The sequence below is a fragment of the Homo sapiens genome, chromosome 5 (assembly GCF_000001405.40).
Source record: "Homo sapiens chromosome 5, GRCh38.p14 Primary Assembly".
In the NCBI taxonomy this organism is placed as follows: domain Eukaryota; kingdom Metazoa; phylum Chordata; class Mammalia; order Primates; family Hominidae; genus Homo; species Homo sapiens.
Window position 1 is genome coordinate 119,174,721 of NC_000005.10, and position 13,671 is coordinate 119,188,391.

The window sequence follows — 13,671 nt, forward strand, 5'->3', positions numbered from 1 at the left end:
TTCCTTAAAACAAATGCCTGACTCCACTGCCTTTCAGTTACTGCCTTTTATACCTTATATCCTTTCTCTTTCTCTTTCCTCTAGTTTCACTCTCTTCAAATTGTTTTTAAGGTAACTAGAATATGTGGTAGCATATTCTTCAGTGACCTGTCCGTTGGTGAACTGTCAGTTATCAGGCTGTTTCTTCACATTTTGGTTGAGGAAAAAGCAGATTGAGTGTTGGAGGGCTTACTTTAATACATGGTTCATGCTCTACTGGAGAGCTGACATCTGTTCCCCTTTGCTCTAGAAAAAGAAATTAGGTAGCAAATGTGTGTTTTATAATTTCTGCTGAAGACTTTAGCGTGTTTTCTTTAAATTTTCTGTAGTAAGACTCATGTAGATAAAAATGAGTGTTGTAGAAAAAAAGGAAATAGTTCATGAAGGCAAAGAATCAAAAATTTTTTCATTCTTTTAAAAATGCTGATTATATTAGGTCTTGAAAAAAAATCTGCACTTTAAAAAGGTTATACTTAAAGTAATTTTGTTTTTGTTTTCCAGGTGTATGTAATGCATACTTTAGCAGCTTCACTTTCTGCTTGTATTTATCAGTGCCTTTGTGGTAGTCATAACTACAGGTAACTATCTTTTTATGAAATTTAAGAATGCTTACAGTAAGCAATGAGGTTTCATATTTTGTATGTTAGTGGTTTAGAACTATATATAACAGTCTTTTAAATAATGCAAAAAGCATATGGTTGAGGTTTTGAGTACTTTTTGTTCATATTTGAAATTTTTATGGCAGATGAATCTCAAACCCTTATTCTGTATAACTTATTTAGCAGCCTATTACTGGTCACTGCCTTATGTCAGACATTGTGATTGGCACTGAGAATTTTAACGCAAATAATATGATAAAGTCTATTTCTTAGGGCCAGTCTAGTTAGAGACAAACATGTGAGTTGATAAATGATATGTATATAATATGGCATAGTACTAAAATGGTAACTATAATAAGACAGTAGATAGTAAAAGGCTCAGGGACCACATGGGAGGGAGTAACTTGGAATTGAGAAAAATTTTACCAAATAATTGATGTATAGGATATTTCTCTGTATTTCTCTTTATGTTATAAAGTTTTACTGAAATTTATCTAGGCTTCAAAAAAATAGTTTGTTACCCTCTGGGGTCTTTCTATATCTATCTTTAGTTGTTTGAAGTACTCTATTTCTTCAAGTATTGTCTCATCTCTCTTCTATCTTTCCTATTAAACAGATATTGCAACTTCTGGGTCATTTCTTAATGTTCTTTAACTTTCCCCTCCTATATTCCATTTCTTTATCTCTTTTTGTTTCATTTCAGGAGAAATTCTAGCTTCATTTTCCAAACACGGATTCATTATTCAGCAATGTCCTGTCTTATTTAGCAAGAATTTATATTTTAGAAATTCTGTTTTTCATTTTCGGGATCTCTTGTTGAATTTAGTATTTGCTTCTGTTTCTATAACATTTCTTGATTAAAAAAAATTATTTTGAGTATGGAGTACTTTACTGATAAGTTGGGTTTCTCAGGTGAAGATCTTTTGTTGAGTTTGTTATTTCTTACATGGTGTCAGCCTTCCTTGTTAATTTTTGGTTGTCTGTCCAGTTTGTGTTTTTGAATTTTCTGTGGGTAGCCTTACTTACCACTCTGGTTGTATATTTCCCAAGGTAACTTCAACTTGATTTCTTTAACCCTCATCCTTCAAGAATTCACTTTCTTATTATTTAGGCTTTATTTTCATTAACTTCTTTTTATCTTTCCTATCTATGATTTCTATAGGAATGAGGGAGTTTTTTTTGTTGTTACTCTGCCATCTTGAAACTGGAAAGTAAAGCAAGGGAAACTACAAAGGCATCAAAATGTTATAACCAATGAGATTTGCCAATCATAACACATTTACACCAATAAATGCGCTATATTTAAGTATATTCATGTACTTAATGTATGATATAGGAATTTCTAAAGGAAATTCCTTATACCATTTTCTGTCAGAATTATTTCATAGTTTATGTCAAGCTGCAGGTTTTTTTGTTCATTCATCTGTTAGTCTTAGCTTTGCATCTTTTACTTGGGGAAGCTTATCCTGAATTCTCAAATTGTGTGAAATACTCCTCTGTATTGCCTTGATAGCGTCATATGCATAGGTTTCATCTTTTAAGAGTAGTATGATAACATTATTTGTGTTTTGTTCCACTATTAAATTTTATGGGGACAGAGACATTGTTATTCCTTATATGCCTAGTACCTGCTACAGTGCCTGATGTAGGGTAGGCTAGCCATTATACATGAAAGTGAGCCTAAACGGACTTCATTTTCAACCAGATAACTATGTTTTTAAGTCAAATATGTAATCTTGCTACTTGTGGTACATAGCGATTTAGTTTTCTCATTTGTACTTATTCTGTCCCTTAAAATGTGTTTTAATTTAGAAAATGTGTATATTTACACTTAAAGGATACTTTGTTTTTATATAGCACTAGACTGTACATTATATTACTTAGATGTACTAGCAGTATAATTAATAAACAAAAATTGATACTCTTGAAAGTAGATCTGAAACATGAAAATATTATATAAAATTTATCATAGATTTAAATATTGTTTTTTTCTCTTAGTTCATTTCAGACGAATCAGTTTACTGGAATGGTATATCAGACAGTACTGCTTCCTCATCGACCTTCTTTGAAAACAGGAAGCTTAGATGAAGCATTAACTCCCAATACGTCACCAGCTCAATGGCCAGGTATAATTTTTATGTATAGATCAGTTTTTTCTTAGTCTTATTTATAATCTTAGATAAGTAGAAAGACTTTTAGTTTTGCCACATGATAATCATTGTTAAATACTGTTAGAATTGATACCAGTTAAGTATTCACCACTCATTCTGAATTACAGTTACTTAACATTAGTATTCCCTTGATCATTATACTAATATAACTCAAATGTTTTGTAATACCGTTTTTTAAATCATTTTGCTTTTGACATACTAGAAAAACCCGTCTATGAAAATTTATCTATGACATCTTAGTCATGAAAGATTTTAATGTTTAATATTAAAGATTTTTAATGTTTCTCTCAAGTAACTCATTTGTGCTTAACTATAATAACCGCTACTAGTCTGTGAATCTAGGGAAGAAAATACAGTATTAACTCCTGATGCAATACATTTTTTCCTGAAATTAGAAAAATATAGTTAATTTTTAAAATTTTAAAAATTTATAGTCAGTGACAGCTATGTTTGTTTGTCGTTCTAGGAATAACTTGTCTAATTCGACTTTTGAATTCTTCTGGCGAGGAAGCCCAGTCAGGGCTTACAGTCTTGCTCTGTGAGATTCTCACAGCAGTGTATCTTAGTCTCTTCATCCATGGCCTGGCCACACATTCAAGTAATGAGCTATTTCGGATTGTGGCCCATCCTCTAAATGAGAAAATGTGGTCTGCTGTGTTTGGTGGAGGTGCACATGTTCCTAGCAAAGAACAGACACATTCAAAAACTTTACCTGGTGAGTTTAAAAAATTTTTTTAGGACTGAAGCTTTATTTATCTGAGTGATATCATTCTCAAACGTAATTACATTTTAATTTAGTTATAGAAAGTTCTGGTTAGAGACCATTTGCGAAAAGCATAAACAAATAGTCATACAGTGAAAATGCAGTATTAAAGTTTCTGGTGCAGTTTTTAATCTTTAAGATATTCCTGTACCAATAATTAGAACGATCTTATGTAAATTTATTAAATATTTTACTACTGAAACTTTCATTTGTTTTGAAACACACTGTAATATTGGTTTTTGTTCTATCCCAAATACGGATTCTTTCTTCTTTCTTTGGCAGGAAGGCACTTTGCTATGCCTAGCCCCCACCAGGTAGTGGTATTCTCCATGGAATGTGTGGGCTTTTCCAAAGCTCTTTCAGCCATCAGTTCTCATAGCCCTCCCAGTCTTGCAGGCAAGATATGAGCTTTAGAAATAGGCTTTTATCATTCAGCTTGCTTTGTGTTGTTTTGAGGGGTTGGGGTACAGTGGGACAGTTTTATTTTGTTTGGCATTTATAGAAAATTGAGAAGTTTCCTTTGATCAAGCCATATTTTTGATTTAAAACAATGATTAGCAGTTTAGAAAACTATCTCTGCTATTTTATTCTGCTTTTAAATTCTTTGTTTTTTATATTTCTGTCCCTTAGACTTTAACATTTTAAAGTGTGTAAAAATAAAACACTGTCAGTGCTAATCATAGAAAATCAGACTATGGCTTGAAATGACTAGAAAAACATTTCAAATTAGGCTGCTTTATGATTTGCATATTATGATTCCGGCCATTGGAGTTTTTGGATTTCTAAGTGTTCATAATACCATGAAAAGTAAATATTTTAAACAATTGTATCCCCGTTTAAAAACTTTCTAATGTTAAAACTGTATTTTTTTCATGTATTAGCCCATGTGTGATAATCTTAGTTTTCCAATTATGGAGGGCATGAGGAGTAGCTTTATTTTTAATACATAGTACTTGAAAACTTATTTCATTCTATATTGGTGTTGAATAAATTGAAAATGTTAAATGTTTTTCCAAAAAAAAAAAAAAAAGCCCTATGCATACATTTGAGAGAAGCTCAGCAAGGTTATTTATCTCTTTATGAGCTTTCATTCACTTCTTCCCTGACGTTTACACTGAACATATGCTTGTACATATAGGTGTATGTGGGCTTGGATATATATGTTTTGGGAGGTCAAGCAGTTGGTGAGGGACATGAGAGAATAAGAAAAGCTTGAATTTGGCTTCATTATTTGGGAAAAAAATTATTGCCAAAATCTTTACCATGATTGATGAATATTCTTTGAATGAAGCTATATTAAAAAGAATTTAGAAAAGTTATTACCTTGTTAAAATATTTAAAAGTTATTAGTAGCAATGTTGGCATATATTATACTTTTCAAAAGCAGTTTCCACTAACCTGTGGCCCTGCATGACTATATAGCAAAAAATCATGATGGCCTAGCTTCTACTTCCTCTCCTTAATTGAAATTGTTTCTTCAGTTACCTAGCTAGGACTCTCATACTTTCTAGTCTGGGTCCTGCCTCTTTCTTCCATCAAGAAAAAACAGGCAGGAATTTCTTTATGTATAATACTTACCATGAGGCAAATTCAGTTTATAACTTTCAGCAGAGTTCAACTAGCTTTTTCTGTAAAAAGCCAAATATATATTTTAGGTTTTGGAGTCCATTTGGTATCTCACAACTATTTAGTTCTGCCCTTGTAGCACAAAGGCAGCCATAGACCATTTGTAAACAGATGAGTACAGCTGTGTTCTAAGAAAACATTATTTATTTGTTGGATTGCAATTTGCCAACCCCTGCTTTACAAGTAGAAGCATTTTATTATTGGTCTATTTGGAATAGAATATTTGCCTTCCCTGTTAAAGGAATTTCAGGTTTTAAGAACAACTGAAGTTAATATTTTGGGAGATAGAGTTCACTGTGGGTCTCTTAACGTATTTGACCTAACCACAAATTGTACTTATGGAATAGTATAAGTGGCATCAGAGGGATAATTTGTAATCTTCCCTGCCATGGCCCTTAGCTTCCTTTAGCCAATCTAGGGGCTAATTCAGTTTTTGCTGTTGTAAAATACTGAAAATGTAGAATCCTAACATGACTTCTCCAGAAACCTGATACCATCCTGCCTATTACTCATCCACCTACCACACTTTGCTTACTACTTTGATGGCTGTTTTATCTCTGTGGTCCCTCCCATTTGCCTTAAATTAAACTCATTTACTTCTCCTTTTTCTTCTTATGCACATCAGATTTCATATGCAAATTTACCTTATTTGCCAAGTTTACCTTTGCTTATTAAAATATTAAGTATTTTGTTTTTGTAACATTCCTTTTCTGTTTTTTAAAAAGTTGTTTATTGTGCTTTTTGTATAGATTTTTTTAAAAGACTAATTTCACATGAAATTTGCCTTGGACTATATTTATACTTGAGATATCTGAATTCAATTAAGGAAAAACTTTCAAAGTCTAAGGGAAGTAGGATCCATAGCTCTGTTGAGTTTAATTTTAAATTAAAAATTGGCAAATTAATTTTGACCATATTTTTAATATGTTCTGAGAAAAATTCATTTGTTAAGACTTTGATCTTGTTGATGTAAAATGTTAAAAAGGGATAAATTATTGCTAAGGAATGTGCAGATATCCATAAAAAAGAAAATGAAAAATACATTCTTACTAGCCATCAGGTCTCAATTTCATCCATTTTTCCTGAGCACAGATATGTGTAAGGAACCATATTGAAAGTCCAGGTTGATCTTTGTATAAGGTTGGTGCAAAAGCAATGGCAAAACTGCAGTTACTTTTGCACCAATCTTATTAACCACTCTAGTTGTTGGTTGTAGGCAAAAATACCATTACATAAATTATTTTGGGGGGGCCATTATAAGTCCGTCATAAGCTGTATCCTACCACTTATTTAACCCCAAGTAAAAAATAAAGTGACCTAAAATTATCTGCATCTATATGTTTAACCTCAGCCAATAATAAGGAATACTTAAAACGTATTGTTCACTTAGTGGTAGGGCTGGATATAGTCATATCCAGGTTATATGGTGCTCATCTGTCCTTGAGTACCCAGAAAGTATTCTAAATACAATCATGGAAGTAACTGAAGGAGTACTTAAAGAAAACATGAATGGTACGATTTGTCCATTTGCTAACCAGAAAAAAAGGAATATATTCACTGAATGATGAAAACTAAAGGCCTGCTGGTTTCAAAGCCAAGCTAATTTGAAAAGGAGCAGGAGGGCTGGATGTGGTGGCTCACACCTGTAATCCCAGCATTTTGGGAGGCCTAGGTGGGCAGATCACCTGAGGTCAGGAGTTTGAGACCAGCCTGGCCAACAAGTGAAACACTGTCTCTACAAAAATTAGCCGGGTGTGGTGGCATGTGCCTGTAGACCCAGCTACTCAGGAGGCTGAGGCAGGAGAATCGCTTGAACCTGGGAGGTGGAGGTTGCAGTGAGCTGAGATTGCGCCACTGCACTCCAGCCTGGGCGACAGAGCGAGACTCCATCTCAAAAAAGAAAAGAAAAGGAGCAGGCAGAAAGAGGAAAGGAAAGAAGCGAAGAGAAAGGGAAAGAAGCGAAGGTCCTGTGGAGTACGGATCCACTGAAAACTAGAGAGAGAAAAATCTCAGAACAGAAAATCAACCAAGACAAGGAACTACTAGCAGCATTGGCTTTCAATATAAAGTAACGTTCAGAAATCTCAGTTTTTTTAAGGCATTATTATGTTGCCCTGAAAACTTACCGAGGCAGGACAGCAACCTGATAAATTTTAGGTTGTAGGTAAGCAGTCCTGTGTGTTTGGATTACTGCTAATCATAATCATTGATGTGCCAAGAGTCTAATTGCATTAAGTAATGTTCAATATACATTGTTGACCAAGGGAATAAAACAGTGTATTTTAGAAAAGTTGACTTGAATCCAGTTAAAATTAATGTGTATTTAAAATTTTTTATCTTTTAAATTTGGCCAGTGAAAGCTGACAAATCTAGAATATTTCATTTTCCTGACTACTCAAACGTGTCAAAGCATTGTATATTGAAGATGAAATACGTGCATATTGAAATACATTGTATATTGAAGATGAAATACATTGTATATTGAAGATGAAATACCCTTAAACATGTTTTCTAAAAGTGTTCCATAAGTTTAGGTACTGTATTATGAGAGGAATTTGAAAGCCATCATTTGTTTTCCTTGTTCTGTTATAAATTTGGATTTAAATTTTCTTTGCAATGATGGCCTCATGAACTAGATTATATTTCTTTCTATATATCTATTATATACTTAATGTATTCTTGTAGTAACATAATATTTAAAGATAAGCTTCATAACTGAAGGAAATTATAGATTTTTATTAGACTCTAGTCTGGCAGGTCAAAATTCTTAACAAAAATGTTAATGTACATAAATTAACTTAATCAAATTTTTTTTGGTGAATTCCACATTATATATTAATGAAGAGTTTGATTTTTCTAATTAACTAAAACTGCAGTGCAGGTATATGTTCATGGAACTCTGAATTGTTTTGTTATGGTCAATTTTAAAGAAGAGAACCAGCTAAGCAATAGCAATTTTCAAAAAATTACTTTTTCTGCTAACAGTTAGAAATCCATACTTTTGCTTTTTATTCTGTATTATAAATAAAGCAGTGTTTTTAAGAATTGTTATTGTGTTTTGTGATACTTGCATTTATAAGAACTGTGAATTACCTCTTTATCTTAATAAATTCATAGTAATGACTTTTTTATGTCTCCAAGTTGAGGAATGGAAATATAAAATGAACATTTTATTTGTGGTAAGCATGTCATATATTTTTTACTATGAGATTGCTAATGATATTCTAGACATAAAGTTTATTTCTGACTTATTACGCTAAAACAGATCAGAAAATCCACTTTTTGCTTTTTCTTATAAAACTTGTGTAAAAACAAAAGTTCTGTATTCAGTAGTCAGTGATTATCACATGTCATTGCTAACATTCCTTTAGCAAAGTAAGCAAAACAGCAAAATATCTTGACCAGAAAAGACTTGAGCATATTAAAATATAAAACAAAATAGGTGATTTAAAATATAATTGAATATGCCAAACATTTAACTGGTGGTTTATTATAAGGAACTTTTAAAAGACTGCTGAACTTCAAAGTAACTAATTCTGTGGAAGGGAATACTTTCCTTTTCTTTTCTTTGTGAGGCAGAGACTCGTACCGTCGCCCAGGCTGGAGTGCAGTGGCGTGATCTCGGCTCACTGCAGCCTCCGCCTCCCAGGTTCAAGTGATTCTCCCACCTCAGCCTCCCAAGTAGCTGGGATTACAGGCGTGCACCACCACACCTGGCTAATTTTTGTGTTTTTTGGTAGAGACGGGCTAGGCTGGTCTCAATCTCCTGACCTTCAGTGATCCGCCTGCCCTGGCCTCCTAAAGTGCTTGGATTACAAGTGTGAGCCACCACGCCTGGCCAGGAGTACATTTTTGTTAGACTTTTCATTGAAGACCATATAATATAAATTTTAATTTAAAGTTTAAAAAGTGTTCTATTCATTCATTTTACAAATGAGTCAGGAAGGCAAATTTTTATACAAGAGTAGAGAAAGCGTAGAAGATAAAAGAAACTCCAAGAAATGTGCATGTATAGATTTTTACATGTAATTATTCTTTTATTTCACTGCTAAAGCCTGATGACAGTAGAAGAAACTAACCCTATAAGAAATGCAACATTCATTTATCTGACCTAGACTCCCTCATTCAATGTTTTCTTCTCTTTTTTTTTTTTGAGACAGGGTCTTGCTCTGTCGCCCAGGCTGGAATGCAGTGGTGTGATCACAGCTCATTTTACAGCCTTGGCCTCTTGGGCTCAAGTGATCCTTCCACCTCAGTGCCCCAAGTAGCTGGGACTATAGGTGCAGGCCATCATTGATTAGCCTAGTTAATTTTTTAAGTTTTATTTTTATAGAGACAAGGTCTCACTATACCCAGGCTGGTCTTGGACTCCTGGACTCAAGTGATCTTCCCACCTCAGCCTCCCAAATTGCTGGGATTACAGGTGTGAGCCACCATGTCCTGCTTAATTCAGTATTTCTGTGTACCTTACTGAGACCAATCATGTGATCTCTCTCTTCAACCCAGTTTTCTAATATTTCTAAGTCCTAAGTCCTGCAGCAAAATGGCTTGAATATATTTTTTCCATTATAGTTTTTTTATTATGACTAAAAACACATGATATAAAATTTAGCAAGTGAACCATTTTTAAGTATATAGTTTAGTAGTAAGTCTATCATGTGGTGAAACAAATCTCTGTAACTTTTTCATCTTGCAAATCTGAAACTATACCCATTAAACAATTCCCCCACTTCATACAATCCCTGGTAATCACTATTCTACTCTGTTTCCAGGGATTTGATTACTTTATATACCTCATATAAGTGGAATTATATAGTGTTTTGTCTTTTTGTGACTGGCTTATTTCACCTAGTGTAATGTTCTTCCATGTTGTAGCTTGCGACAGAATTTCCTTCCTTTTTAATGCTGAATGTTCCGTTGTGTGTGTATACTCCATTCACATTTTCAATAAGTTTGTTGAGTTTGGGTTGAAATCTTATATACAGAACCGTGTTGTGGCATTCAGGGTGATTGAAAAGTAAGTACTACTCTAGGGCAGTGACTTCAGGCTTTTGAAGACATTACCTTATCCATAAAACATGCTTGACCAAATTCTCAATATATGTATATTGATGTCTACTACTATCGATCCAGATGTTAAACATTGACAAAATTTAGTTTCTTCTCCTTACTTTCCTTCTTCCCCTTCTTTCCTCTGCTTTCACCTCCACCTGCCCCCATCTCTCCTTTCTTCTTGTCCCTTCTCCTTTCCCTCTACTTCTTCCCCTGTCACTTTCTGCTCCTCTACCTCCTTCCCTTCTCCTTCTGCCCTTTCCCCCTATTTATCAAAAAATAAATCTAAGTAGAAGTTGTAGTATTTTCCTTCCATATTCTGGTGAATCATTTTGTACAACTACCGTGGAGACTCCCTTGCTCTGTGGTTTGGAGACAAATCACCACTTTCTATTAAGATATTTATTATTTCATTTTTATAGATATTTATGGAGCCATGTTCAAGATACGGTGTATGGTAATGATCCTAGGAAGACTTTGAGGGTCAGTCTTTCTAAAAGCTGGATAGTATCATCTTCCAGACTTTTTTTGTTTGTTTGTTTGTTTTTTTGAGACAGAGTCTCACTTTGTCACCCAGGCTGGAGTGCACTGGCATGATCCTGGCTCACTGCAACCTCTGCCTCCCAGGTTCAGGTGATTCTTGTACCTCAGCTTCCCAAGCAGCTGGGACTACAGGTGCACACCACGACACTTGGCTAATTTTTGTATTTTTAGTAGAGATGAGGTTTTGCCATTTTGGCCTGGCTGGTCTCAAACTCCTGGTCTCACGTGGTCTGCCTGTCTCAGCCTCCCAAAGTGCTGGGATTACAGGCATGATCCACTGTGCCTGGCCAGACTTTTTTTTTTTAATCACTAATCTTATTCTTTGATGATTAAGAAGTACCTTCAATTAATTGCTTCTTTAATCCTTTTATTTTTGGAATATTTGAAGTTTACTTGGAAAATCATGTTTTACATTTAATTTTGAGGATTTGTTTTATACTTAGTGTTCACGTACATTTGTAGTTCTCAAACTTTTTACCTGAAGATAAAGGTTAACATATACCTCTTAGGAGACTGAGGACTTAGACTGAATTGGCTTGCTGAAAGCAAGAAATAAATTTGAAATCTGTTTGTCTTAAACTTGCATGACTTTTATCTTTTCCATATTTGGGGGGCTCAGTTAGAAGGTCCAGACTAATGTGCCTCCTGAAGCTTCGTGTATACTCTGGCACACTCATGAATAGCTCTGTGGATATGGGTGCCTTAGATTGAGAAATAGAGAGTGAGACCTGCTGGTTACTTTAAGTTCAGTTATTTTGTTGTTTGTTTTGTTGTTGAGACAGGTTCTTGTTCTGTTGCCCAGGCTGGAGTGCAATGGTGTGATCTCAGCTCACTGCAACCTCCACCTCCTGGGCTCAAGTGATCCTCCCAAGTGGCTGGGACTACAGGCATGTGCCACCATGCCCAGCTAATTTTTCTATTTTTTTGTAGAGACTGGGTTTCACCATGTTGCCCAGGCTGGTCTTGAACTCTAAGTTCAGTTTTTAAAGAAATGACATTTAAATCTACATTCAGAATATTAATTTCATTGTGCTGATTTTAAATGATAAACTGAAAAGTAAATATTAACTTAATAACCTTCCCCTTATATTTTAGTTTTAATCACAGCAATATATGTGTGTGGTAACAAGTCTAGCAGTACAGAAGAATTTATAGGAAGGAATGTTGTCTTATTCCTCTGCTCCTCCCCTTCCCTATGTGTAGCCTGTTAGCCATTTCTCCATTTCTGTTTTGGGTTCTTTGGGGAGTTACTTTTATAATTCTTAGAAAACCACAGTGCAGATATTCTGAGGGTGAGGAAAGGATTGTTAAGGGAAGGAAGGTGTATTTGTCTGTACAGTCTACTATCTTGACATGGAAGCTTTGTTTTAAAAAGTACGGGAAGGGGAACATCACACACTGGGGCCTGTCGTGGGGTGGGGGGATGGGGGAGGGATAGCATTAGGAGATATATCTAATGTAAATGACGAGTTAATGGGTGCAGCACACCAACATGGCACATGTATACTTATGTAACAAACCTGCACGTTGTGCACATGTACGATAGAACTTAAAGTATAATTTAAAAAAAAAAAAGTGCTTCCTGGGAAAGCAACTGAAACTTATTTTTAAAATTTATGTCAGGACATTATTCTGTTTTTCCTGTGAATGCCTTAGTTTTTCTTCAGCCACTTTGTAGCCTCCCTATACCTCTTAAAATTCATAAATTCTATATTCAAGTTGCTCTTAATTTCTCCCTAATACTATTTTCTTTCTTCTGTTACTAATAAAGTAGCGGTTTTCCCATAATAGTAGAACCATAGGGTTAGTTTGCACCCAAGGAATGGCAAACGTTCTTGATATTTGATTATTAGCATTTTCAAAAACAACCAGTTGAACACCCAGCAGCTATAGTTTTTATCGGTGCCCCTAAGCTTCACGACCAATCTGACCCAGCAGGATTCAAGCATAAAATTGCCTTAAGTCTTCCTACAATTGGAGGACAAAGAAGAGGGAGTAACTACCCTATTGACAAGTCACAGGTCATTTCTTGTTTACTGGGTGGCATCGCTAAGGTCTTTTTAGTTAAAGCATCTAAAGTAATACACATTCATTACTGTGAAACTGCCGATTTTTTTTCCTTTGGTCCTGCTTCATTAAAAGTGTTGTTTTTGTTGTTGTTGTTTTTGAGATGAAGTCTTGCTCTGTTGCCCAGGCTGGAGTGCAGTGGTGCGATCTTGGCTCACTGCAACCTCCCCCTCCCAGGTTCAAGCAATTCTCCTGTCTCAGCCTCCCGAGTAGCTGGGATTACAGGCACGTGCCACCATGCCTGGCTAATTTTTGTATTTTTAGTAAAGGCAGGGTTTCACCATGTTGGCCAGGCTGGATCCTGACCTCAGGTGATCTGCCCACCTCTGCCTCCCAAAGTGCTGGGATTATAGGCGTAAGCCACCGCACCCAGCCAAAAAGTGTTTTAATAAGTGGTTTTATACTTCCTGGTGTTGAGTCTGTAAATTTTAAACATTTCCTCCCAGTGTGGTTAATATTTTCATGTCACGTGACTGGATTCACAGCTTGTAGTTTCAAATGTTTCTGTCTTTAAAAACTCTCTTATATTTTACTTTTAAAACTATTTTTATCTACCAGTGGGTCAGTAAAAGAAAAAAAGAAAACTATTTTTATGACATACTAATCTTGGCAAAAATCTATTAATTTAACATTGTACGTGTTTTTTTTTCAGAGATTGTCTATACTTCTTGGTTCACATGCTTTTTAATAACATAAAAACAAAAACAGCCAGGTGCAGTGGCACAAGCCTGTAGTCCCAGCTACTCAGGCGTCTGAGGTGTGGATATCCCTTGAGTCAAGGGATTAAATCCAGCCTAGGCAACATAAGGAG

At 34.9% G+C, this 13,671-nt stretch overlaps 1 protein-coding gene across 26 annotated transcripts in view; it reads left to right on the top strand.

Moving 5' to 3' along the window:
• The window catches only part of DMXL1 (Dmx like 1), a 178,101-nt gene that overhangs the window by 103,694 nt on the left and 60,736 nt on the right, over positions 1 to 13,671 (top strand). For 13 of the 26 annotated variants that reach the window (XM_011543213.3, XM_017009145.2, XM_005271912.3 and 10 more), the window contains 4 exons: positions 541 to 617; positions 2,637 to 2,764; positions 3,276 to 3,524; positions 3,855 to 3,968. In XM_011543213.3, the coding sequence (XP_011541515.1) occupies positions 541 to 617; positions 2,637 to 2,764; positions 3,276 to 3,524; positions 3,855 to 3,968 (568 nt within the window). The remainder of the gene's footprint in view (positions 1 to 540; positions 618 to 2,636; positions 2,765 to 3,275; positions 3,525 to 3,854; positions 3,969 to 13,671) is intronic. The other 13 variants (NR_170869.1, NR_170867.1, NR_170868.1 and 10 more) reach the window with 1 other exon arrangement.